The sequence below is a fragment of the Homo sapiens genome, chromosome 4, assembly GCF_000001405.40.
Source record: "Homo sapiens chromosome 4, GRCh38.p14 Primary Assembly".
Lineage (NCBI taxonomy): Eukaryota > Metazoa > Chordata > Mammalia > Primates > Hominidae > Homo > Homo sapiens.
The window spans coordinates 99,410,510-99,437,495 of record NC_000004.12 but is presented as its reverse complement, the minus strand read 5'-3'; the positions used below and the strand labels follow the sequence as shown (position 1 = coordinate 99,437,495).

The following is a 26,986-nucleotide window of genomic DNA, read 5'->3' as shown; positions in this document are numbered from 1 at the left end:
AACAATCCATAATAATAATAATAATCCAAGCAGCCAACTGGAGTCAAGTTAATAATAATGACATCTGCTACTGATTATGAATCAGGCAGTATACTTCAGTGCTTTCTGACCCTCACTACCAGTCCTCAGGACACCCATGCAATGTGGTTATCATTAGTCTTATTTTATGAATATGGAAGCTGAAGTCATACATATTCAAGCAAGGCTCCAGGCCCTGAACCAAGTGACTCTAATTCCAAAGCCCATATTCCTGTAGTACACTTTTCAAAGTTCCTCTAAGTTCCCCTGTATCTTGACCTGAGGAAATTACAGTTGCATGGGTGCTTTGAGGTAATCATTAAAGGCTTTTGTAAACTTTGGGAGTAGGACCAGGCTCACAGTAACTAGGAGATTGAGTACCCTGAGGGTTCTGGCCCCAGAATTTCATAGAAATATGGTGTTTAGAAGAAAGAAGTCATCTGTTAAATTCTCTAAACCTAAAATTAAGACTTAGCTGCTATATATCCAAACTGACCCATTTTTTTTATTACCTTCCAAGATTCAGCTTTTGGCACTTTATCATCCAATCAAGTTTCATGGAGACTGGATTAGGACCATAAGACTTATTCAGATATTAAGCCTCACATGATACATTATTTTTTGTAAAAAAATTTTAGATTAATATGATACAAAGTTTTGCCAAGCCCTTAAGAGGGAGTTTATCAATTCAGCGCTTTTGCATTTATGCTGTCACCACCCATGTTTGAACTCATTTTCTTTTGTTCATAAGTAAACAAGTTTTTGTTTGAAAGTCGAGACTAAGAATACCTGTCCTTGTCCACACCTGTTTAACTTTGTCTTATAGTGCCAGCAAACATACTGGAGTTCTTCAGCACTACTGCTAAAGCAATGGTGCTTACTCACAAGCCAAATCAACTGGCAATGGTTTTTCCTGGTGGATTTGATTTGGTTAATGAGTTGTAGTAACAAATTCTAATTACAAATTCTGAATTTGACATAATATATGTTAAATTGGATGTACATTTACTATGTTATATTGAAAGAGAGATGTGTGGAAAAAATGTATACTTATTTTTGAAAAGAAACTTTTGTTTGTATCTGAAAAATAAACTCTTAGCAAATTTCATCTCTGGGTTGTTAAGAGTCCAGGTTCTGGACTTCATAGCTTGAACAGCTTTGTCTGAAGACTTAGAAAACCTGCTTCACTGGATCACTTAACAAAAGTAAAATATCCTTTGTGTAAAGTTTTCTTGGAGGTGATGGTGTACCAGTATGCTGACCATCTGGTGTACCAGTATGCTGACCATCTACTGTCAAAAATAACATCTATACTGGACATTCTCCTATCAAATAATAGATCCAGAAGCTTCTGGAGCCATTGCAACTTATATTAAGAAATAATGGTCTGTAATGGTTAAACAGCTACTCAAGAAGACCTAGGTACTTGCCCAAGTAGATGAAAACCCTCTGGCATTCGATAGCCAGTATGCAGGCTGGATTTCAATTTCTCTTGAGCCCCTGCACTGTGTTACATTGGTGCCGTAAACAAACTGTACAACCATATGAGGCAACTCTGTGGTTAATGGGATTTGGAGTCAGATGATAATTTCTCTAAGTGCAGACACAGAAAGTTTCACTTAACTTTCTACACCTAAAATACTTAGAAACCATAGTCATCCATATTGATATTTTATATCATCTCAACTTCTCTTGCCCAAACTTGACCTACTGTTGCAATTATTTTACATTTCCTTGGCTCTGTTTTCATTTATATTTAATTCCAGAAACCACATCAAGTCTTTGCAGAATGAAGTAGAGCATTAAGAAGTAGAGATGTACACACGCATCTCTAAAATCAGCCATGCCTAGGCAAAGCAGCTTGCACTTAAACACCCAATACATTTTTCATGATTGTGTTGAAGTGAAGTAACCTAACCCGTTTTTATATCCTTCAAAATAAGGTGGATAGGAATGCTTTCAGCCCTTTTCAATAGCTTTGATTATCTTGTTTTTGTTAGATCCCTCCTCTTGGTTTGATCATAGTAGTTACTGTATTTCTTTTTATAAGTTGGTCTGCAAAGGGTAGGGCTTGCAGACCATTGCAAAGTTGTGACGGCTGTGAGTCATATTGCTGAAGGTGGAACTCTGAAGCCAGACTATCTATGTGAAGGCACAAGCTGCTGTTATATACAACAGAGTGAACTGAGCATCAGTCAGAAAAAGTCTATGTTTGCAGAAATACAGATCCAAGACAAAGACAGGATGGGCACTGCTGGAAAAGTAAGTGGAACATTTCTGTCCCCTCCTCATCATGACCTAATGATGTGAGGCTGATACTTAGAACTTTGAATCCATTAAAGTAATTAAACACTTGGAGATATTCCTTGAGGAATGAAATGCTTGGTGAGCAGGCATACAGTGAGGGAAACACTGGATATGGTGTTTCAGAGAATGTCAGTGGAAGCAGGGGTAAGTTGGAAATAGTATATCCAATGTCAGCAAGACATTGGTGGAAAATAGAGAAATTGATTTATATTGGCATTATTCATAATTTGATTTCCGGATAGCTGGGCAATTGCTCCAGGAAGCCAAATGTTTCCACAAGGACACTTCAATCGTCTCAGTAGCATGTGCTGCACTCGCTGCAGTAGTTCAATGGGAAACCAGGGTCTCATGCCCAGATGTTGGAAGAAACGTTCCTGCCATTAAGAATGGAAAATGCTAATTCTGGGATGCAAAATGGCCAAGAAAGTGTCATGAATTTTAGGTTTCTTACAAATGTAATTTTTATCAAAATATATATTTAAAAATTCTTTAAAATCAAGACTATATTATTGGTAAAGTATGTTTATCGTTCTAAAAACAACAGAGTTAGCAGAGTTGGTATTAACTTTAGAAACAGCTTTGCTTTGTTTTTTTTTATTTGAAAATAGGTCAGTATATTTCCTTACTTTAAATGGGTACATAATTGCTTAAAGGACTAAATTTTTTTGTTTGTTTTGTTTTAACTTGAACAATTTTGCATTTAGCTTGCTTAAGGTTTTGGAAAAATAAAGATGACATGAGAAGTCTGGGTAATGTGACAAGTCAGGAGACTCTATGATGTTAGAATTTGAAATAAGTTTTACTAGAATTGGATAGAACTGGAATAAAACCATCCTAATTTGGGTCAGAAATCCAGCAAAACTAGATTACTTGGGAAGTTAATTTTGCACTACAGAAACTAGCAACTCTACCCATGGATATTAATGAATCTTAGAACTGAAAGGAATCTTAAAAATTTGCAACTTTTACCACCCAACAGATGCTTCAGGTCTGGTTACACTATTTCTAGGAAGTCGATATTCATCCACTGTAAGAACATTTCTGATGATGGAGAAAGTAGCCTCAAGGCAGCACTTTCCAATTAATAATACAGTATATAATATATAAAGAGTATAAAAGTTATATGATTTTGATATATGGTCATGCAATAGTGTGGTTTGCCTAAGGATTATATATTTCCCAACTTTCTGTAGTGTTCCAGTGTAGCTCTTGAAAGGAGTTTCCCTTTACATTGGGATTGATTTTTTCTCTTTATAATAAATGTTTTCTTTTTCATTAAAAAAGTAAAAGATAACTGTATTAGTTTCCTAGGGCTTCCATAACAAAATATCACAGACTGGGTGGCTTAAACAGCAGAAATTTGTTTTCTTGTACATCTGAAGGCTGCAATTCTGAGATTAAGGTGTCATCAGGGTTGGTTTCTTCTGAGGCCTGTGTCCTTGGCTTGTGGATGACCCTCTTCTCGCTGTCTTCACATGATCTTCCCTTTTCCTAATCTCCCCTTCTAATAAAGACACCAGCCATATTGGATCAGGTTCCACCCTGATTACCACATTTTAAATTAATTACTTCTTGAAAGACCCCATCTCCAAATACAGTCACCTTCTGAGGTACGGGGGGTTAGGACTTCAACATACGAATTTGGAGGGAGACACAATTCATCCCATACCAATGATTATTCTAGAAAATTTGGAAGGTCAGAAAATATGAAGGAAAAAAATCAATCATAATATCACATCCCCAAACTACCATTTTTGTGTGTGTGTTTCCTTCTATTTTTCCATCCATAGTTTATGTAGCTGTACTCATACAATATACAAATATTTTATCCTATTTTTCCATCTTAAACATTTTTCAATTTATAACAATTTATAAACATTTTTAAATGTCTAATTTCTGCATTTAGCACAATTTATTTCATCATTCCTCTATTATTGTTTATGTATTTTCCTTTGTAAATAGTGCTGTGATGACATCTGCTATATAGAGAGGTTTTTCTAAAATTAATATTTCTTCGAGGTAGCCTTTAAAAATGGAATTACATGGGTAAACATGCCACAACATCCTTAAATATCTTGATGTACCATGCAAATTACTTTCTAAAGGGTTGACATAGGTAAGATGGCCCATTTTACCATTTATCTGACAATACTGTGTATTCTCATTAAGTTCTCATTAAGTAAAAAGTCATTTTCAGAGCATGGTGGCTTGTGCCTGTAGTCCCAGCTAACTGGGGAGGCTGAGATGGGAAGACCACTTGAGCCCAGGAACTAGAGTACAATCTGGGCAACAGAGTGTGATATTGTCTTAAAAAAATTTTTTTTTTTAATTCATTACAGACTTGATAGGCACAGAATTGTATCTCATTTTTATTTTTTTAAAAGGCGTTTTTATGAGTGAGAACAAACATGTCACAATCTATTCATTAATCTGTTGCAGTTTTTTCCATAGGTCCTTTGCCTGCTATGTATCTCCCAGGATGTAAGTGTGGTATGTGGAAGTGGGAAGGAGTGTTAGGAGTGAAGTTGTTAACACTTCCTCTGTAAATTTGAGTAAGCATTGTATTTATCAAATGTGGTAACTTTTATCTATTTAATATTTTCCCTCAGTACTATTTGATGTCAATGTGGAAAATTTACTATTTCTCAACACACAAAATTTTAATTCTTAGAAGCTGTTTCCTTTATGACTTTTTTTAACTTTTATTTTAGGTTCAGGGGTACATGTGCAGGTTTGCTACATAGGCAAATTGTGTATCATGGGGTTTGGTGTACAAATTATTTTGTCACCCAGATAATAAGCATGGTACCTAATTGGTGGTTTTTTCATCCTTACCCTCCCTCCACCTTCCACCCTCAAATGGGCCCTGGTGTCCATTGTTCTTTTCTTTGTGTCCATAGGTACTCAATATTTAGCTTCCACTTATAAGTGAGAACATGTAGTATTTAGTTTTCTGTTTCTGCATTCGTTTGCTCAGGATAATGGCCTCCAGCTCCTTCCATGTCCCTGCAAAGAATATGATCTTATTTTTTTATGGCTGCATAGTATTCTGTGGCAAATATGTACCACATTTTCTTTATCTAGTCTAGCATTAATGGGCGCTTAGGTTGATTCCATGTCTTTGCTATTGTGAATAGTGCTTCCGTGAACATACGCATGCATATGTCTTTATGGTAGGATGATTTATATTTCTTTGGGTATATACCCAATAATGGGATTGCTGGGTCAAATGTTAATCCTGTTTTATGTTCTTTGAGAAATGGCCAGACTGCTTTCCACAGTGGCTGAACTAATTAACCTTCCCACCATCAGTGCATAAGTATTCCCTTTTCGCTCCAACCTCACCAGTTTGTTTTTTGACTTTTTAGCAATAGTCATTCTGACTGATATGAGATAGTACCTCATTGTGGTTTTGATTTGCATTTCTCTAATGATTAGTGATGTTGAGTATTTTTTCATATGCTTGTTGGCCATAAGTATGTTTTGTTTTGAAAAATGTCTGTTCATATCCTTTGCCCAGTTTTTTATGGCGTTGTTTGTGTTTTGCTTATTATTTTGTTTAAGTTCCTTATAGATGCCGGATATTAGACCTTTGTTAGATGCATAGTTTGCAAATATTTTCTCCACTTCTATAGGTTGTCTGTGTACTCTGTTGATAGTTTCTCTTGCTGTGCAGAAGCCCTTTAGTTAAATTAGGCCCCTTTTGTCAATTTTTGTTTTTGTTGCCATTGCTTTTGGCATCTTTGTCATTAAGTCTTTACCAGGTCCTATGTTCAGAATGGTATTCCCTAAGTTATCTTCCAGGGTTTTTAGAGTTTTGGGTTTTAGATTTAAGTCACATCTTAAGTTAACTTTTATGTATGATATAAGGAAGGGGTCTAGCTTCAATCTTCTGCATATGGCTAGCCAGTTACCTCAGCACCATTTATTAAGTAGAGCATTCTTTCCCCATGGCTTGTCCTTTGTTATTTTTTCTATCACTCTTAAGCATAAAAGTTACTCCATGCTCAGTATGATCAATATTTACATCTTCACTGATTGATAAAATAGTTTGACTTTAAAAATAAATCTTGGGCCAGGCACAGTGGCTCACACCTGTAATCCCAGCTCTCTGGGAGGCCGAGGAGGGCAGATAACAAGGTCAGGAGATCGAGACTATGCTGGCCAACATGGTGAAACCCTGTCTCTACTAAAATACAAAAACATATTAGCTGGGCGTGGTGGCACACACCTGTAGTCTCAGCTACTCGGGTGGCTGAGGCAGGGGACTCACTGAACCTGGGAGGCAGAGGTTGCAGTGAGCCCAGATTGCGCCACTACACTCCAGCCTAGCGACAGAGCAAGATTGCGTCTAAAAAAAAATAATAAAAAAATAAAAATCTTAACAATGAATCCAGCTTGAATTTGTTTGGGAATGTGGTGTGAGATTTCTAACGTCAACATTGGGCCATATTACACTGTAACCCATAACATTTTCATTAGTAAGGCAGAGGGTAAATATTAAATTGAGCTACTGATGGCTTTCAGCCGCCCATCTGTTACCAGTGTATCATTTTTCACATTTAACCTTTTTACAAAAGAGCCACTTAAGAATCCATAAGAGCTCTCTAGGACTGTTGTGTTTGTTGACAAGTTGAAGGTAACTTATTTTGCATCTGAACAAATTAATTAAAATATTTTATAGGAGTCCTAGACAGATTGGGAGGTAGGAAGGTGGAAACAATTTCTCTATGTGTGTCTGTCTCTGTCTCTCTCTCTCTGTCATAATTCAATAATCTTAGCAAAACCATTTAATTGAATAACTACAGCAAAACCAGTTGAACAACTGGATGCCAGTCACTGGTATCTCCACACCTAGTGTCCACTACTATAAGATGACAAGCTTTAACCTGCCTATCAAGCCCTACCAGGTGCAAGAACTGGGCTAGGTGCAAATGGGATGCAGAGATGCAGACACAAATTCAATCATCCAGGAACTCACAGTCATAATCTGTATGCTTCATGATGTTCATGGTTCTCTTCATCCTTACCATGCTAATAGTCTAATTTCTTCACCATTGCTATGTGATTATATGCAGCTATTAAATACTGGTTTAAATTCTTACAGACAAGTCAGCAGCATTTTCTGTTTTATAAATTTGTCTCTTGTGAATAAGCGATACACAAAGGACAATTTTGTTAATCTATTAGATTTGAAATTGTAACAAAATAACCTATTTTTGGGTGGGGGTGTTATGTGAACAGCAAACAAAAATCAATAAGTTGGGAAAAGTACCTCAGGTCTAGTCCAGCTCTGCATGTCATGTGCTAGGTGACCATGGATCCATCATTTAGTCACTCTGGGCTGCATTTCTCATGCCTTAAGCAAAGGCACACACAAGATGATTTATAAGGCTTATAATACTAGTGTTTGATGAAAATCATTCTGGAAAACTTAAAATATTATATATGCTCTTCTGTTCATATTTATACTAGTCAGGGAGTCTGTAAGTTAAAGGCATAATTCAGACCCATTATAATACTTGCCTATTTCTTAGGTTATTAAATGCAAAGCAGCTGTGCTTTGGGAGCAGAAGCAACCCTTCTCCATTGAGGAAATAGAAGTTGCCCCACCAAAGACTAAAGAAGTTCGCATTAAGGTAAGCGTGAGCCCTAGAGAACTTAAGCCAAAAGCGTTATCAAACTTATATTGAATATAGCACTGTTGTGAGGCTGGATTCTTAAATAAGGAGATGCTTCCCATGTTTGGAGTATTAATTCCTTTACTGGCTCTTATATATTGTTAAGGATCTGGTTGTACTCGATGTGAAATTAATGAGTTCATTATCCTTTTAAAAAACAACAGTGCTAACATGCTTTATTATACCTTTGATTTGTTGAATTTTTATTCATATAGTGTCTAATTTAAAATGGTTAATAATCATAGCTAAAGACTTCTTTTAAAATCTTCTGGGAGTCAGATTGTTTTGAGGTTACTTTTTGCAAAGAATGAGGAACTCACTTGTGCCTGGAGAAATGACAACTTCGTGGAACGTTTTCCTCCCTTTCTTTGGACAGAGCTTAACCTTGGCTTTGGACACCAGTTGTTGAGTAGGCATTGCTACCAATCTTTCTTTGACCCTCTTACTGTTACCTGAGCACAACAGTAGCAGGAAGATTTTGCTCTTTGCTTACCTTCTTGCATGCCATTTCCTCTGTTCTTTGTTAAGAGAGCCCAATAAGGGCCTAGCTATAAAAATCTACTTTGGGGCCATCACATAGTAACATCTGTATTCTGGTTCCCTCACAAGAGCACCAATTTACTACAGACAGGCACCAAGATTCAACCTAGGGTATAAGGGAGCAATATTATAAGTTCCGTCAGAGAGGGATCTTGTCTGATGGTTGATTTTTGGCTCAGAATAGTCTAAGAGTAAATGTTGTTATATTAGGCAAAGATATTGATTAAACAATTATAATTTCTTCAAGAAGTTAAATATTCTCCCAACAGTGAAATGATCAGTTTGTTGATTGGTGCAATGTTTTTGTCTTTGAACACAGATTTTGGCCACAGGAATCTGTCGCACAGATGACCATGTGATAAAAGGAACAATGGTGTCCAAGTTTCCAGTGATTGTGGGACATGAGGCAACTGGGATTGTAGAGAGCATTGGAGAAGGAGTGACTACAGTGAAACCAGGTATATGCAGGTGTCAAACCACAAGTTTGAAATAATTAGGCTTTGATTAGCCTATCAAAGGAAATAGCACACACTAGGAATTATTAGAGGGATCCTTAACACAATTCAGGGAATTAAAAGGATACAAGAATGGATTTTACTGAGTAATGTTTAATTTGGCAAAACCTCAACCTTTAGAAGGCAAACCTTACGGTGTTTATAAACCTTAGAATATATTTTTAAAAGTTTTACCTATAGTATGGGCTCAATTCACATTTGTTAATTTCATATTTTAACATTAATGAACAGCATCTTATATCATGATTTTTTTCCTGTAGGTGACAAAGTCATCCCTCTCTTTCTGCCACAATGTAGAGAATGCAATGCTTGTCGCAACCCAGATGGCAACCTTTGCATTAGGAGCGAGTAGGTTTCAGTCATTTTTACTTTAATGTATTTACATTTTTCCTATGCTAATTTTTGAATTGAATTAATTAATACGTGTATTTGATGTATCAAACAGTATTACTGGTCGTGGAGTACTGGCTGATGGCACCACCAGATTTACATGCAAGGGCAAACCAGTCCACCACTTCATGAACACCAGTACATTTACCGAGTACACAGTGGTGGATGAATCTTCTGTTGCTAAGATTGATGATGCAGCTCCTCCTGAGAAAGTCTGTTTAATTGGCTGTGGGTTTTCCACTGGATATGGCGCTGCTGTTAAAACTGGCAAGGTAAGAAACAGGGTAGGCTAGTTTATTTGTTCTTCTTTCCTTTTCTTAAATGATTTGCTTGGAATCTTGAAGAGTTTTGGAAAAAAAAAAAACATTTAAAAGAATGTATTGCATATTCAGGCTGCCAAGCAACACAATGCCAAATCAACTAAAAGAAAAATAAAAAATTCAGATTAGAAATTTTATTTCTTCTTTTTACACTTGAGAATATTTATTGACTATATTTGCAAACTGCATCATTTCTCCATCTTTAAAATATACCCCTTCCCCATATGTTAAGTTTGTTAAGATAGGACAATCTCAGTATTTTAGTTACAGCAGAGGCTTTTTGTCAGAGCTTTTACTCCTAGTTTCTTGTCAGCTAAGTAAGATTTATTGTATAACTACAAAATACAGTAGTAAGTACATTACCAACTTCTCAGAAAAAAGTACAATTTTGTCAGATCACCTGTTATAGATAATATAAAGAGCAATAAAATCATTAATCATTTTGATTACCACCTATAATGCGTATCAGAAATAAAATACAGTAGTGTTTGTTGCCTATTATCAGTAATGCTGTTACTGTTCACCAAAACTGATTTCTCAGTATACATTTTTCCATCAACTGTGATGTTAGATAGGATCCCTGGAATTTTAAGTTAATCACATGAAATTTCACAAGTAAATTGGAGTTCAAGGAATTAAGAATCTTTGACCTCTTATTATTTTGAGATACGTCCCATCAATACCTAGTTTATTGAGAGTTTTTAGCATGAAGCATTGTTGAATTTTGTCAAAGGCCTTTTCTGCATCTATTGAGATAATCATGTGGTTTTTGTCTTTGGTTCTGTTTATATGCAGATTACATTTATTGATTTGCATATATTGAACCAGCCTTGCATCGCAGGTATGAAAGCCCATTTGATCATGGTGGATAAGCTTTTTGATGTGCTGTTGGATTCGGTTTGCCAGTATTTTATTGAGGATTTTTGCATCAATGTTCATCAAGGATATTGGTCTAAAATTCTCTTTTTTGGTTGTGTCTCTACCCAGCTTTGATATCAGGATGATGCTGGCCTCATAAAATGAGTTAGGGAGGATTCCCTCTTTTTCTATTGATTGGAATAGTTTCAGAAGGAATGGTACCAGTTCCTCCTTGTACCTCTTGTAGAATTCGGCTGTGAATCCATCTGGCCCCGGACTCTTTTTGGTTGGTAAGCTATTGATTATTGCCACAATTTCAGATCCTGTTATTGGTCTATTCAGAGATTCAACTTCTTCCTGGTTTAGTCTTGGGAGGGTGTATGTGTCAAGGAATTTATCCATTTCTTCTAGATTTTCTAGTTTATTTGCGTAGAGGTGTTTGTAGTATTCTCTGATGGTAGTTTGTATTTCTGTGGGATTGGTGGTGATATCCCCTTTATCATTTTTTATTGCATCTATTTGATTCTCCTCTCTTTTTTTCTTTATTAGTCTTGCTAGCGGTCTATCAATTTTGTTGATCCTTTCAAAACACCAGCTCCATGATTCATTAATTTTTTGAAGGGTTTTTTGTGTCTCTATTTCCTTCAGTTCTGCTGTGATTTTAGTTATTTCTTGCCTTCTGCTAGCTTTTGAATGTGTTTGCTCTTGTTTTTCTAGCTCTTTTAATTGTGATGTTAGGGTGTCAATTTTAGATCTTTCCTGCTTTCTCTTGTGGGCATTTAGTGCTGTAAATTTCTCTCTACACACTGCTTTGAATGTGTCCCAGAGATTCTCGAATGCTGTGTATTTGTTTTCATTGGTTTCAAAGAACATCTTTATTTCTGCCTTCATTTCGTTATGTACCCAGTAGTCATTCAGGAGCAGGTTGTTCAGTTTCCATGTAGTTGAGCGGTTTTGAGTGAGTTTCTTAATCCTGAGTTCTAGTTTGATTGCACTGTGGTCTGAGAGACAGTTTGTTATAATTTGTGTTCTTTTACATTTGCTGAGGAGAGCTTTACTTCCAACTATGTGGTCAATTTTGGAATAGGTGTGGTGTGGTGCTGAAAAAATGTATATTCTGTTGATTTGGGCTGGAGAGTTCTGTAGATGTCTATTAGGTCCACTTGGTGTGGAGCTGAGTTCAATTCCTGGATATCCTTGTTAACTTTCTGTCTCGTTGATCTGTCTAATGTTGACAGTGGGGTGTTAAAGTCTCCCATTATTATTGTGTGGGAGTCTAAGTCTCTTTGTAGGTCACTCAGGGCTTGCTTTATGAATCTGGGTGCTCCTGTATTGGGTGCATATATATTTAGGTTAGTTAGCTCTTCTTGTTGAATTGATCCCTTTACCACTATGTAATGGCCTTCTTTGTCTCTTTTGATCTTTGTTGGTTTAAAGTCTGTTTTATCAGAGACTAGGATTGCAACCCCTGCCTTTTTTTGTTTTCCATTTGCTTGGTAGATCTTCCTCCATCCTTTTATTTTGAGCCTATGTGTGTCTCTGCACGTGAGATGGGTCTCCTGAATACAGCACACTGATGGGTCTCGACTGTTTATCGAATTTACCAGTCTGTGTCTTTTAATTGGAGCATTTAGTCCATTTACATTTAAAGTTAATATTGTTATGTGTGAATTTGATCCTGTCATGATGATGTTAGCTGGTTATTTTGCTCATTAGTTGATGCAGTTTCTTCCTAGTCTCGATGGTCTTTACATTTTGGCATGATTTTGCAGCAGCTGGTACCGGTTGTTCCTTTCTATGTTTAGTTCTTCCTTCAGGAACTCTTTTAGGGCAGGCCTGGTGCTATCTATGACAAATCCACAGCCAATGTCATACTGAATGGGCAAAAACTGGAAGCATTCCCTTTGAAAAGTGGCACAAGACAGGGATACCCTCTCTCACCACTCCTATTCAACATAGTGTTGGAAGTTCTGGCCAGGGCAATTAGGCAGGAGAAGGAAATAAAGGGTATTCAATTAGGAAAAGAGGAAGTCAAATTGTCCCTGTTTGCAGATGACATGATTGTATATCTAGAAAACCCCATTGTCTCAGCCCAAAATCTCCTTAAGCTGATAAGCAACTTCAGCAAAGTCTCAGGACACAAAATCAATGTACAAAAATCACAAGCATTCTTACACACCAATAACAAACAGAGAGCCAAATCATGAGTGAACTCCCATTCACAATTGCTTCAAAGAGAATGAAACACCTAGGAATCCAACTTACAAGGGATGTGAAGGACCTCTTCAAGGAGAACTACAAACCACTGCTCAAGGAAATAAAAGAGGATACAAAGAAATGGAAGAACATTCCATGCTCATGGGTAGGAAGAATCAATATCATGAAAATGGCCATACTGCCCAAGGTAATTTATAGATTCAATGCCATCCCCATCAAGCTACCAATGACTTTCTTCACAGAATTGGAAAAAACTACTTTCAAGTTCATATGGAACCAAAAAAGAGCATGCATCGCCAAGTCAATCCTAAGCCAAAAGAACAAAGCTGGAGGCATCACGCTATGTGACTTCAAACTATACTACAAGGCTACAGTAACAAAAACAGCATGGTACTGGTACCAAAACAGAGATGTAGATCAATGGAACAGATCAGAGCCCTCAGAAATAACGCCACATATCTACAACTATCTGATCTTTGACAAACCTGAGAAAAACAAGAAATGGGGAAGGGATTCCCTATTTAATAAATGGTGCTGGGAAAACTGGCTAGCCATATGTAGAAAGCTGAAACTGGATCCCTTCCTTACACCTTATACAAAAATTAATTCAAGATGGATTAAAGACTTAAACATTAGACCTAAAACCATAAAAACCCTAGAAGAAAACCTAGGCATTACCATTCAGGACATAGGCATGGGCAAGGACTTCATGTCTAAAACACCAAAAGCAATGGCAACAAAAGCCAAAATTGACAAATGGGATCTAATTAAACTAAAGAGCTTCTGCACAGCAAAAGAAACTACCATCAGAGTGAACAGACAACCTATAAAATGGGGGAAAATTTTTGCAACCTACTCATCTGACAAAGGGCTAATATCCAGAATCTACAATGAACTCAAACAAATTTACAAGAAAAAAACAAACAACCCCATCAAAAAGTGGGCAAAGGACAGGAACAGACACTTCTGAAAAGAAGACATTTATGCAGCCAAAAAACATGTGGAAAAATGCTCACCATCACTGGCCATCAGAGAAATGCAAATCAAAACCACAATGAGATACCATCTCACACCAGTTAGAATGGCAATCATTAAAAAGTCAGGAAACAACAAGTGCTGGAGAGGATGTGGAGAAATAGGAACACTTTTACACTGTTGGTGGGACTGTAAACTAGTTCAACCATTGTGGAAGTCAGTGTGGCGATTCCTCAGGGATCTAGAGCTAGAAATACCATTTGACCCAGCCATCCCATTACTGGGTATATACCCAAAGGACTATAAATCATGCTGCTATAAAGACACATGCACACGTATGTTTATTGCGGCACTATTCACAATAGCAAAGACTTGGAACCAATCCAAATGTCCAACAATGATAGACTGGATTAAGAAAATGTGGCACATATACACCATGGAATACTATGCAGCCATAAAAAATGATGAGTTCATGTCCTTTGTAGGGACATGGATGAAGCTGGAAACCATCATTCTCAGCAAACTATCACAAGGACAAAAAAACAAACACCGCATGTTCTCACTCATAGATAGGAATTGAACAATGAGAACACATGGACACAGGAAGGGGAACATCACACTCTGGAGACTGTTGTGGGGTGGGGGGAGGGGGGAGGGATAGCATTAGGAGATATACCTAATGCTAAATGACAAGTTAATGGGTGCAGCACACCAGCATGGCACATGTATACATATGTAACTAACCTGCACATTGTGCACATGTACCCTAAAACTTAAAGTATAATAATAATAATAAATAAATAAATAAAATAGATCTATTTTATTAGAAAAAAAAATAAAATAGGTCTATTTTATTAGAAAAAAAAAAGAATCTTTGACCTAATACATTATTAAAAGAAAAACCTTTATCAAGAAATGCAATTGAAAATGAAGTTTCTAGATTTAATTTTTGTTTCTTCCACATCTCCTTCTGATTCAAATTTCTAAAATTTATATTTGTATCTAAATTTATTTACAAATGACTCAGAGTTATGATTTTTTATTTCTTCTATTAAAAAATGGGATATATGTGCAGAGCGTGCAGGTTTGTTACACAGGTATACGTGCGCCATGGTGGTTTGCTGCATCTGTTGACTCGTCCTCCAGGTTCCCTCCCCTCACCCCCCACCTCCTAACAGGCCCTGATGTGTGTTGTTCCCCTCTCTGTGTCCATGTGTTCTCATTGTTCAACTCCCACTTATGAGTGAGAACATGTGGTGTTTGGTTTTCTGTTCTTGTGTTAGTTTGCTGAGAATGATGGCTTCCAGCTTCTTCCACGTCCCTGCAAAGGACATGATCTCATTTCTTTTTATGGCTGCATAATATTCCATGGTGTATATGTACTACATTTTCTTTATCCAGTATATCATTGATGGCCATTTGGGTTAGTTCCAAGTCTTTGCTATTGTAAATAGTGCTGCAATAAACATACGTGTGCATGTGTCTTTGCAGTGGAATGATTTATATTCCTTTGGGTGTATACCCAGTAATGGGATGGCTGGGTCAAATGATATTTCTGGTTCTAGATCCTTGAGGAATTGCCATACTGTCTTCCACAATGGTTGAACTAATTTATATTCTCACCAACAGTGTAAAAAGCGTTCTTATTTCTCCATAGCATCACGAGCATCGATTGTTTCCTGACTTTTTAATAATCGCCATTCTGACTGGCATGAGATGGTATCACACGGTGGTTTTGATTTGCATTTCTCTAATGATCAGTGATGTTGAGCTTTTTTCATATGTTTATTGGCCACATAAATGTCTTCTTTTGAGAAGTGTCTGTTCATATCCTGTGACCACTTTTGGATGGGGTTCTTCATTTTTTTTCTTGTATATTTGTTTAAGTTCCTTGTAAATTCTGCATATTAGACCTTTGTCAGATGAGTAGATCACAAAAATCTCCTCCCATTCTGTAGGTTGCCTGTTCACTCTGACGATAGTTTCTTTTGCTGTGCAGAAGCTCTTTAGTTTAATTAGATCCCATTTGTCAAGTTTGGCTTTTGTTGCAATTGCTTTTGGTGTTTTTGTCATGAAGTCTTTGCCTATGTCTAAGTTCTGAATGGTATTGCCTAGGTTTTCTTCTAGGGTTTTTATGGTTTGGGGTTTTACATTTAAGTGTTTAATCCATCTTCAGTTAATTTTTGTGTAAGATGTAAGGAAGGGGTCCAGTCTGAGTTTTCTGCATATGGCTAGCCAGTTTTCCTAGCATCATTTATTAAATAGGGAATCCTTTCCCCATTGTTTGTTTTTGTCAGATTTGTTGAAGAGCAAATGATTGTAGATGTGTGGTGTTATTTCTGAGGCCTCTGTTCTGTTCCATTGGTCTATATATCTGTTTTGGTACCAGTACCATGCTGTTTTTGTTACTGTAGCCTTGTAGTATAGTTTGAAGGCTGGTAGCATGATGCCTCCAGCTTTGTTTTTTTGGCTTAGGATTGTCTTGGCTATATGGGCTCTTTTTTGGTTCTAGATGAAATTTAAAGTAGTTTTTTTCTAATTCTGTGTAGAAAGTAAATGGTAGCTTGATAGGGATAACATTGAATCTATAAATTACTTTGGGCAGTATGGCCATTTTCACGATATTGATTCTTCCTATGCATGAGCATGGAATTTTTCCATTTGTTTGTGTCCTCTCTTATTTCCTTGAGCAGTGGTTTGTAATTCTCCTTGAAGAGGTCCTTCACATCCCTTGTAAGTTGTATTCCTAGATATTTTATTCTCTTTGTAGCAATTGTGAATGGGAGTTCACTCATGATTTGTGTTTTTAACTGGAGGCCCTTTTCAGGTTTCACTTTTTGACCCTAACACCTAACATGTTCAAGAACATTCCTCTCCACAGGTCAAACCTGGTTCCACTTGCGTCGTCTTTGGCCTGGGAGGAGTTGGCCTGTCAGTCATCATGGGCTGTAAGTCAGCTGGTGCATCTAGGATCATTGGGATTGACCTCAACAAAGACAAATTTGAGAAGGCCATGGCTGTAGGTGCCACTGAGTGTATCAGTCCCAAGGACTCTACCAAACCCATCAGTGAGGTGCTGTCAGAAATGACAGGCAACAACGTGGGATACACCTTTGAAGTTATTGGGCATCTTGAAACCATGGTAAGACCCAAAATTTGAGAAGCCACAAAATACCCAAGTTATTAGACATGCACAAGGTAAATTTAATTGTCTATAACTTTATTAATAGTCAATAATGGAAATATCTCTGCGATAGTCAGTTTTACTCAGGCAAAAACTGATAATCACATAGCAATTTTGCCTAAAAAGTCAAACACTTAAGAGCAGGTTCACTGGACCAAAGTTAAATACCATATCATACCACTCTCAGCTGACTAGATGGCAAGGTAGTCAACCCTTCTAGATAATTGTTTTAAGTAGGATCTTCCTTGTATATGTAGATTTCTTGGCGAAAGCAATTCTGTCTCTTGAATGTCAGCAAAGTAAGCATCAGAAGGTGACTGAGGAGAGGTGAAAAGGGATTATTCCAAATGTTGTGGTCTATTCCCCCAAATCTGTGATCCATCGACCTTCTCACTCTTTACATCTGAGCTTTGTTTGCCCTCATCTGAATTCCCTTAGAATATGAACCTTCAATTTTCTAACCATGCCACCTGTATGGCAGCCCGCAGCACCAGACCTTCAGTTAGACCTGTAAAACAGATCTGAGATTCCTGGAACTAGAAAGCTCCAACCTGGCATAGCGTAAAGAGACTAGGAAAAATGGAATAAAGCCACTTTTGCTCAAGATTGAGTGGCAGATTAACTCACCTTAATGCTTTTGGTAATTTAAGAATAAATAGTCCTTAATTTATCATTGCTGTCATATTTCTTTCCTAGTGAATCACTTAGATTTATTTCATATCAACAAATAGCATTCTAGGTCATAAGTTTTTGAAGCCATATGTGATACTGGATATATCATTAGAGCCTACTGATTTCCAGTTGCTACTTGATGAAGGCTGGTCTCTAAAAACAATGCCATCTGTTGCTCCAATCTAGCAAGTATTAAATTATTGCTTAATAACTGGATGGGTTAATGACCAGAAAATGTGAGGTTAGTCTCAGAAATGCTCCCAAGAAAAGGGACTCTTTTGTCCCACATTTTAGTATTTTATTTAATTTTAAGACTAAACTTAAAAAAAAAACTACGCTAAATGATTTGGTATACTTAATTCAATTTAGTTTGGTTCAAATGGCTTTCTAAGGCTTATCTGAAGTGGTGATATTGGTATGAAAATATCACAAGAATTTCCCTTGTATTTTAGTGCATGGTACACTAAAAATGCCACAAACACTGACCACATTGATTGCTGTTTCTGCCTTAAAGGGCAAATGTGTATAGAAATTTAATTAAGGACTAAAGTTGCACTGAAATTTTTTTAAAGCAAGTAAAAAACAAGGTGGCTTAATTTAATTTCATGACTTTGTCATAGTACATAGGTCATTTCAGAGCTTATGTCACACTGTAAGAGACACAGGAAGCAAACGATCTCCTCCGTTTTAAACTCAGATTGATGCCCTGGCATCCTGCCACATGAACTATGGGACCAGCGTGGTTGTAGGAGTTCCTCCATCAGCCAAGATGCTCACCTATGACCCGATGTTGCTCTTCACTGGACGCACATGGAAGGGATGTGTCTTTGGAGGTCAGGAAAGCAAAGCCTCTGGATGGGGAGTGATGGCTTTCACTCTGGTGCTTGGCAAGTGGGAGAAGCCTGTTTCCTCAGGCCTTTCTTCCAAGAATGAGTATGAAGTGATCTAAAATGGAACTGTGATCATAATAACACAAAAGATAATTCTCCACTCCTCACCTTGATGTAGGACTAATATTGGTGGACGCATTTTTAATATTAACATCTGCAACTCAAGTTCCCCAAAGGCCTGAATGAGAGACACCAGTAGTGTTTCTATAGGGATGAATTATGTAACAGGAAGTTCCGATTTAATCCATTATTATTAATATACACAAGAATGTGTATTAAAGTGAATTTATTCGATTCATAATAGCACCAACAAAAATCCTGGACCCAAAGCCAAAACCAACAACAACAACAAAAGGGATTGTCACATTTTATGGGAACAGTTCAGATTCACACTGGAAGGACTTAGATTATCACTCAACAATTAATATTGTTTTAGGAGAGATGGAGCCAGGGCCACTCTGCTCAAGGTAGGTGACACAGTGAGTCCTTTTTTTTCCCTCCTTCACAAAGTCTCGTTTTCTAGTGCCTTCATACAGAGTTGTACTGGGTGCTTTGAAGGTACTCCCAATATTAGAGTCTGCTTTATACAATATAAGAGAATAGTAACTATTCAAGTACTTGTTAAGAGTATAAAAAGGAGAAAATGATTGTTCTTCACTTAGAGAAGTACATAATGTAGCGAAGGATACAAAAACAAATATAAAAGAAAGAATATAAAAATAAGTGCAGCTATAAATATTATAAAACAAATTATAAGAGGAGTTTTTTAGCATTTATTCTATGTTAAAAGTTTTACATTAATGTGTTTGAAGTTTATTTTATTTCTCAGTAACTCTCTGAGGAAGCTACTTAATGAATAATAAAACTGAGACTTGGAACTATTAAGTTTTTTGCCCCTATAGCTCTCAAGTTGAGAACTGAGATTTAAAGCTGGTCCATGGGAGAACAAAGTTTTTCCTCTTTCTGCAACATTACTTGGGGCATAAAAAAGCAAGAGGCTAGTTGGTATGGATGAGGTTTTATAGAGAAGGCTTTTCAGGGAAAATGAAACTTGAAGAACAAAACAATAAGAGATATAAGAAGTTGAACCTCCTTGCTTTGACTATTTGTGGGAAGTGGGAAGATTATAGATTATTCAGGAATATTAGAGGTAAAATTCAGTTATTCAGCAAATATTTGTTGAGTGTATACTGAGTACAGGTACCATTGTGTACATAGTGTACCATTCCAGGAGCTAGGAACGGAGAAGAGACAAAACATACCAAGTCCCTGATCTCAGGAAGTGTGAGAATCCTCTCACTTTGGTATAGAGAGACTGACAATAAATAAATGAATGCAGAATATACCATAAGGTTACAAGTGCAAAGGATAATAATAAAGGATGGGTAACGGGCAGTGCCAGAGGACTGGGGTGGAGGTGGAGGTGAATGCTATTTTATAAAGTTCAAGGAAGGCCTCCTTGATAAGGTAACATTGGAGCAAAAACATAAATAAGATATTCAGAAATCTTGGGAAAGAATATTCCAGGAAGGAGACGTAGTAAATACAACAGGGTGTTGGCAAGAACCATAAGAACGGGGAAAAGGTCAGTATGGCTACAACAGAGTGAGGACAGAAGAACAGTCACAGCTGGGGTCAGAGGACCTTAAATTATATGGGGCCTTTGGGCCATTGCAAGGTTTTAGGAGTTTATTCTGAGAGAGAAATAAAACCACAGAGGCTTCTGAGGGAGGTGTCACCTGATCTGACTTCCATTTTAACACTCTCCTTCTGGCTGCTCTATGGGGAATACTCTAAATGGGGCAAAGGGCACAAGCAGGGAGAGCATGGAAGAAGTCATTATAATGCTGGAAGGAAAGGATGCTGGCTTGGAGTGATGGGGCTGGTGAGAAGTAGTCAGCTCTTGGATACATTTTGAAGATAGAGTCAACAAAATTTGCCGAAATAGTTATTGTATGGCAAAAAGAGTAGCATCCAAGATTTTTGGGCCTAAGCAACAGGAATCATGTCACCATCATCATTTATTGAGAAGGAAGACTATAGAAGGAATAGATTGGGGGCTAGGGTGGAAGTGGTAGAAACCAGGAGTGGTTTGGGGCAGGTTACACTTGTGCAGGTACCTGTGAGATACCTGAATAAAGATGTCTATAAAATGTAGGCAATTGGCTATGAGTCTGTAGTACAGGTAGAGGTTTAGGATGGGTATAGAAACCTAAGTATTTTAAGAGGAGTATATCGAAAGCCACAAGACCAGAGGAGGTCACCCTAGAAGTAAATGTAGATAAAGAACAGAAATGGACCAAGGACCAAGCCCTAGGAATCGTTGGAGTTAGAGGTCTGGGAGATGTAGAGGACCCAGCAAAGATCTGTGGAAGAAGTAACTAGTGAGCAAGGAAAGTGACAATGATGATGACGATGTAGTATCTAGAAGCTAAGGGAACAGAGTGTTTCAGAAAAGGGGAGCCACCAACAGTATCAGTTATACCTAACAGTTCATATAAGAGGAGGACTGAGAAATGACCCCTGTCTGGGTCAAAATGGAGCTCAAAGATGACCTTGATGATATCCATTACAGGACAGTGCTGGGGGCAAGAGCGTAATCAGAGTGGGCTCAGAGAGGGTGAGAGGAAAGGAACAGGATCCAGAAACAGTGAACTGAAGACAATTCTTTCTGTAAAGTAAAGAAGTTTCTCTGCAATAGAAGCAAAGATATGGGGTGACTGGAAGGAGATGTGGGTATCAGAAGAGTTTTTTTAACCTTTGTTTCTTTTTAATTTAATTTAATTTTTATTTTACTTTAAGTTCTGGGATACATGTGCAGAACGTGCAGGTTCGTTACGTTGGAATACAAGTGCCATGGTGGTTTGCTGCACCCATCAACCCATCATCTAGGTTTTAAGCCCCGCATGCATTAGGTATTTGTCTTAATGCTCTCCCTCCCCTTGCCTGCCACCCACCGACAGGCCCTGGTATGTGTCATTCCCCTCCCTGTGTCCATGTGTTCTCATTGTTCAACTCCCACTTACGAGTGAGAACGTGCGGTGTTTGGTTTTTTGTTCCTGTGTTAGTTTGCTGAGAATGATGGTTTCCAGCTTCATCCATGTCCCTGCAAAGGACATGAACTCATTCTTTTTTATGGCTGCATAACTTTTGTTTCTTATGCTGGGACAAATACAGCTTATTTGTACACTGCTGGGAATGATCTAACACAGGGAAAGTCATAGTGCAGGAAAGAGAAGGAATAAATATAACATAATAAAAGATAAGGATTATTTAGTAATGTCTAAAGAGAAAATGTGTGCTTATTTGCAGGTTTGAAAAGCAGAGATGATGTCCCAAAACTAGTGACTGAGTTCCTGGCAAAGAAATTTGACCTGGACCAGTTGATAACTCATGTTTTACCATTTAAAAAAATCAGTGAAGGATTTGAGCTGCTCAATTCAGGACAAAGGTAACTGTTTCTTATGATGATCTTGTCTCTTCTCCACAGGCTACTTTTAAAATTTAGTACTTATAAATGTGCCTGTTTTCTTCATATTTTATTTCTAATTATTTAATCTAGCCAGATTGATACAGCTAATTACTTCTCTTTACCCACTGCATTAGTGTATTTTCATACTACTATAAAAAAAAAAAACTGCCCGAGACTGGGTCATTTATAAAGCAAACAGATTCAATTGACTCACAGTTCAGCATGGCTGGGGGCTTCAGGAAACTTATAATCATGGTGGAAGGCAAAGAGGAAGCAAGGCACCTTCTTCACAGGCTGCAGGAAGGAGAAGTGTCGAGCAAAGCGGGAAGAGCCCCTTACAAAACCATCAGATCTTGTGAAAACTCACTCACTATCATGAGAACAGCATGAGGGAAACTGCCCCATGATTCAATTACCTCCACCTGGTCTCTCCCTTGACATGTAGGGATTATAGGGATTATAATTCAAGATGAGATTTGGGTGGGGACACAAAGTCTAACCATATCACCAACTTAGTATGCCATTGTACTATATTAATCAATTTTTTAAAATCTTTTGGATTTTGTTTACCTAGTTGATTTCATTGTGGCTATTTTTATTTCATCATAAAGCTGCTATTTATTTCAAGTAAGCCACAAAATTTCCTTATTTTACAGTTTTCAAAGTGCTTTCTCAAATGTGCATTATTCAGATCCCTGTAAGCCAGGTATTATTTTTACCATTTTTAGATGAAGACCAAGGTTGTGAAAGCAAATAAATAACTGGTCAAACCTCCTGGGGTAGTGCCAGGATATAAACTAATTGCAAAACTTGTGCTCTTTTGACCATATAACAAACTTCTCTGACAGAGCTTGGCAAGCTTTGGGTAAACATGGGTGTGATGATTACTACTCTTGTTGCTTCTGAGGGTTGGGCAAGGATAGAGGTCAAGTATGAATTCATGCAAATTTTATCTACAACATCTACCTCATGGAGGTCTCAAACAGCAATCAAAAAGCCTGTCTACAAGATGAAATGACTTTCACTCATTGGGCCTATAAATAATTATTGAGCTTCCACTATGTGCCAAGGACGTGGATTTCATTAGTAAAAGGAACTGTATATTGAGATCCAAATTTTTACTAATTTTTTTTTTTACCTGAGAGATTTTTCAATGTTGTGTCTTGTCTCCACATTTGGTCTAGCCTACAGGATCATCATATTATGAACATACATTTTTTTAAGCAAGTAAACAATGGGATTTTGTAAGAAAAACTGTCAGAACCACTCAGTACTACTTTACTCAGATAAGCAAAACTAACAGCTTAGTATGGCCTGCTTGGAAAATAATTACTATTTGTTTTCCAAAGAAACATAAATTCTGCTTTCAGGAATTTTGCTTCAAATATCACCTTAAAGCAGGGACATCCAAACTAACATTTGTAAACCTAAACTCTTCAATTTCCACCTACTTCCTGCACAGCTCTATTTGAATGTCCCACTTGGAAATATTTTTTCGCCAGTAATTTTTATCTCAGTCATTATATTATGCGTTCCTCTTTTATAGATGAGAAGCCATAGCATCATGTCTGACTTCTTTTTCACTCTTGCCTACCACATACAAACCAATTCTAAGCCTTGATGATGCAACCCTTGATTTCTCCTTCAGAATCCCTCATCTCATTGCCCACGCTCATTGCTTTAATTCAGTCTAATCATTTCTGACATGGACATGGTAGTGAGATAATAGGTTTTCCACCTTCTGTATTAAAATACATTCCAGTTAGTCTTTCACTAAGCTGCCAAGCTCAAGTTTTGCCAAAATGCCAATGTCTTAGCATGGTTTTGAAAGCCTTTATTATTGAACTAAAACCTATTTTGTTTCAACAGTTAAGAATTTGGCATTCATTCTATCACCCTCTGCAGCAGGCTTTTGGGATAAAGTGAGGGAAGTAGGTCTCATCTACTTGCAGGATCTCTTGGGCACCCAGAAATCTAAACATATTGGATTACCTTTCCTGTTCACATGTTCCTAGGCTTGTTCATGCTTTCTCCTCAACCTGGAAACCACTTCCCTCTTGTTGGCATACTGAAATTATACTGATGCTTTCAGAATTAGCTCAGATACCCTTATCAGAGTTGCGTAACAAAGAAAACTAATTGTTAAGGACTTTGAGCCCAGAGGATTTCCAATAACAGAATTTACTTGAAGTTTCTATGACAGATAGAAAGGACAATTGTTTAAACTATCCTTTCTTGAAAGATATGAAAACAAGTCATTAAAAACTCTCATTTTACATTTCAGCATTCGAACGGTCCTGACGTTTTGAGATCCAAAGTGGCAGGAGGTCTGTGTTGTCATGGTGAACTGGAGTTTCTCTTGTGAGAGTTCCCTCATCTGAAATCATGTATCTGTCTCACAAATACAAGCATAAGTAGAAGATTTGTTGAAGACATAGAACCCTTATAAAGAATTATTAACCTTTATAAACATTTAAAGTCTTGTGAGCACCTGGGAATTAGTATAATAACAATGTTAATATTTTTGATTTACATTTTGTAAGGCTATAATTGTATCTTTTAAGAAAACATACACTTGGATTTCTATGTTGAAATGGAGATTTTTAAGAGTTTTAACCAGCTGCTGCAGATATATAACTCAAAACAGATATAGCGTATAAAGATATAGTAAATGCATCTCCTAGAGTAATATTCACTTAACACATTGAAACTATTATTTTTTAGATTTGAATATAAATGTATTTTTTAAACACTTGTTATGAGTTAAGTTGGATTACATTTTGAAATCAGTTCATTCCATGATGCATATTACTGGATTAGATTAAGAAAGACAGAAAAGATTAAGGGACGGGCACATTTTTCAACGATTAAGAATCATCATTACATAACTTGGTGAAACTGAAAAAGTATATCATATGGGTACACAAGGCTATTTGCCAGCATATATTAATATTTTAGAAAATATTCCTTTTGTAATACTGAATATAAACATAGAGCTAGAATCATATTATCATACTTATCATAATGTTCAATTTGATACAGTAGAATTGCAAGTCCCTAAGTCCCTATTCACTGTGCTTAGTAGTGACTCCATTTAATAAAAAGTGTTTTTAGTTTTTAACAACTACACTGATGTATCTATATATATCTATAACATGTTAAAAATTCTTAAGAAAATTAAAAATTATATAAAATGTTTTGTGGTGATATATTTTTAAACAGGCATATGTTGTTATTAAGCTTTTATTTGTTATAAACAAAGTGTTGAAGCGCCTGAAAACATAAAAATACTTTATAAGACATATAAGAAGTTGGGTGGTCATAGCAGAAATTGAGGCTTCCAATGCTAGGGCATAATATAGATTGGACACTTCTACCATGGTAAATTGCAAAATGTCCAGGTATTTATGAACCACTTTTACATGATGAATATTTCCCAGTGAAAAGTGGCATGAACTCGAGGAGTAAAATTTCCTTTTTCTTTTACCAGTTTGTCAATCTAGGCTTAATCTAGGTTTAAAAAAAATAGCTGAAAAGTGTAAATAATTATTTTGAAGTATCTTCATCATCAGCTGAGTTTAGCTATGGCAATTCTCAAAACACTATGAATATTTACAGCTTATAAGAATTATATTTTTATGTATACATATATATATCTATATTTATGTCAATAAATAGATACATAGATAGATGATAGATAGATAGATAGATAGATAGATAGATAGATAGATAGATGATAGATATAGATAAGTATAGAAAATCTCTATCCAAGAATCATTTGGAGACATTTCCTCTGTCCATTAGCAATATCTGTAGCTAGGATCTCAGAATCCATTAAGGAAGGAAAACTGCCCCCCAAAAAAGCATTTTTAACAAGAAAAATATGTAGAATGGATTAATTCCTTTATGTCTCCTGACTCAAATTTTGAAAAACATGTAAATAAGGATACTAAAAGTAATATGCAAATATAGGTACATCAAAAGAAATAAATCCAAGAAGGAATAAACACATTTATATTCTCAGATCACAGCTTTTTAAATGAAATCCACTTTATGCTTAGATAAAATTATATTTTGACAAATATGCTGCATATGTGACAATTTTATTTATTTAATATTTATTATGATACTTTGTGGAATCATTCCTCATGTCTGAGCTTGTCATGGCCAAATAATGAACAGAAAGACCTTCTACTATCTTTCTCAGGGTAACCTGCACATGAATAGCATTTTGAGTCATCAGAAAACACTGGTTCTAAGAAGAGATCAGGAAATCTGATTATTTTTGCATATTTCTTATTTCTGGTCAATGAAACCACAAAGCATTGTCAAACTGAGTTCTTGAATATAAATCAAAATATAAGTAAGCAATAAATAGCTAGAGGAATGCTAAAAGAAATATCCAGCTTCTTCTTTAAAGAATAGTCTAGACTTCTAATCATTTAACTGATATGTGGAGAACATTCATTGGGCAATTTTTTTTTTAATTTCAACCAGTATTAAGCACTGAGCTAGGTGTTTGGTATACAGTAATGAATAAAACAGAATAATGAATGTCCTTTGGAGCATATGGTCTAGTAGTGATGGCAGCTCCTCTCTGCTAGGAACTGAACACTCTTCGGGACACCCTGGCTGCAGAAAGGAGTGACCCACTGCAAGTCTCCTCTGAGCTGTTCTATCACTCAATAAAGCTCTTCTTCACCTTGCTCACTCTTCAGTTGTCTGCATACCTCATTCTTCCAGTTCGCAGGACAAGAACTTGGGGCCCACCAAATAGCCGGGCTAAAAGAGCTGTAACACCAACAGGGCTGAAACACGCCCCTTGCTCACCATGTTGTGGGTGACAAGGAGAGAAAAGAGATGGAGAGAAGAGCTGCGACCCTTTGGGGAGCCCAGACCTAGGAGCTCCCTAAGCCAGGCTGTAACACCCTCTTTGGAACTTTATGG

The 26,986-nt window shown here is 36.8% G+C and overlaps 1 protein-coding gene across 2 annotated transcripts, besides 5 other annotated features; it reads left to right on the top strand.

Moving 5' to 3' along the window:
* Nucleotides 1,668-2,241: a promoter, noted in NCBI's record as "-495/+79 promoter". NCBI's record gives the evidence for it as "EXISTENCE:reporter gene assay evidence [ECO:0000049][PMID:9703017]".
* Nucleotides 2,033-2,061: a protein binding site, noted in NCBI's record as "C/EBP footprint C". NCBI's record gives the evidence for it as "EXISTENCE:protein binding evidence [ECO:0000024][PMID:9703017]".
* Nucleotides 2,033-2,061: a protein binding site, noted in NCBI's record as "C/EBP footprint C". NCBI's record gives the evidence for it as "EXISTENCE:protein binding evidence [ECO:0000024][PMID:9703017]".
* Nucleotides 2,093-2,106: a protein binding site, noted in NCBI's record as "C/EBP footprint B". NCBI's record gives the evidence for it as "EXISTENCE:protein binding evidence [ECO:0000024][PMID:9703017]".
* Nucleotides 2,108-2,132: a protein binding site, noted in NCBI's record as "AP-1 footprint A". NCBI's record gives the evidence for it as "EXISTENCE:protein binding evidence [ECO:0000024][PMID:9703017]".
* On the top strand, nucleotides 2,154-25,233 carry ADH7 (alcohol dehydrogenase 7 (class IV), mu or sigma polypeptide). 2 transcript variants are annotated; one of them, NM_000673.7, is made up of 9 exons: nucleotides 2,154-2,280; nucleotides 7,863-7,964; nucleotides 8,866-9,004; nucleotides 9,322-9,409; nucleotides 9,507-9,723; nucleotides 16,703-16,963; nucleotides 18,375-18,510; nucleotides 21,880-22,018; nucleotides 24,324-25,233. In NM_000673.7, the coding sequence occupies exons 1-9, from the start codon at nucleotides 2,263-2,265 to the stop codon at nucleotides 24,346-24,348; spliced, it is 1,125 nt and encodes a 374-aa protein (NP_000664.3). In that variant the 5' UTR covers nucleotides 2,154-2,262; the 3' UTR covers nucleotides 24,349-25,233. The 2 variants fall into 2 exon arrangements, with proteins under 2 accessions (NP_000664.3, NP_001159976.1); NM_001166504.2 differs by lacking the exon at nucleotides 2,154-2,280 and adding an exon at nucleotides 2,362-2,469.
* The last annotated feature ends 1,753 nt before the right edge of the window (nucleotides 25,234-26,986 follow it).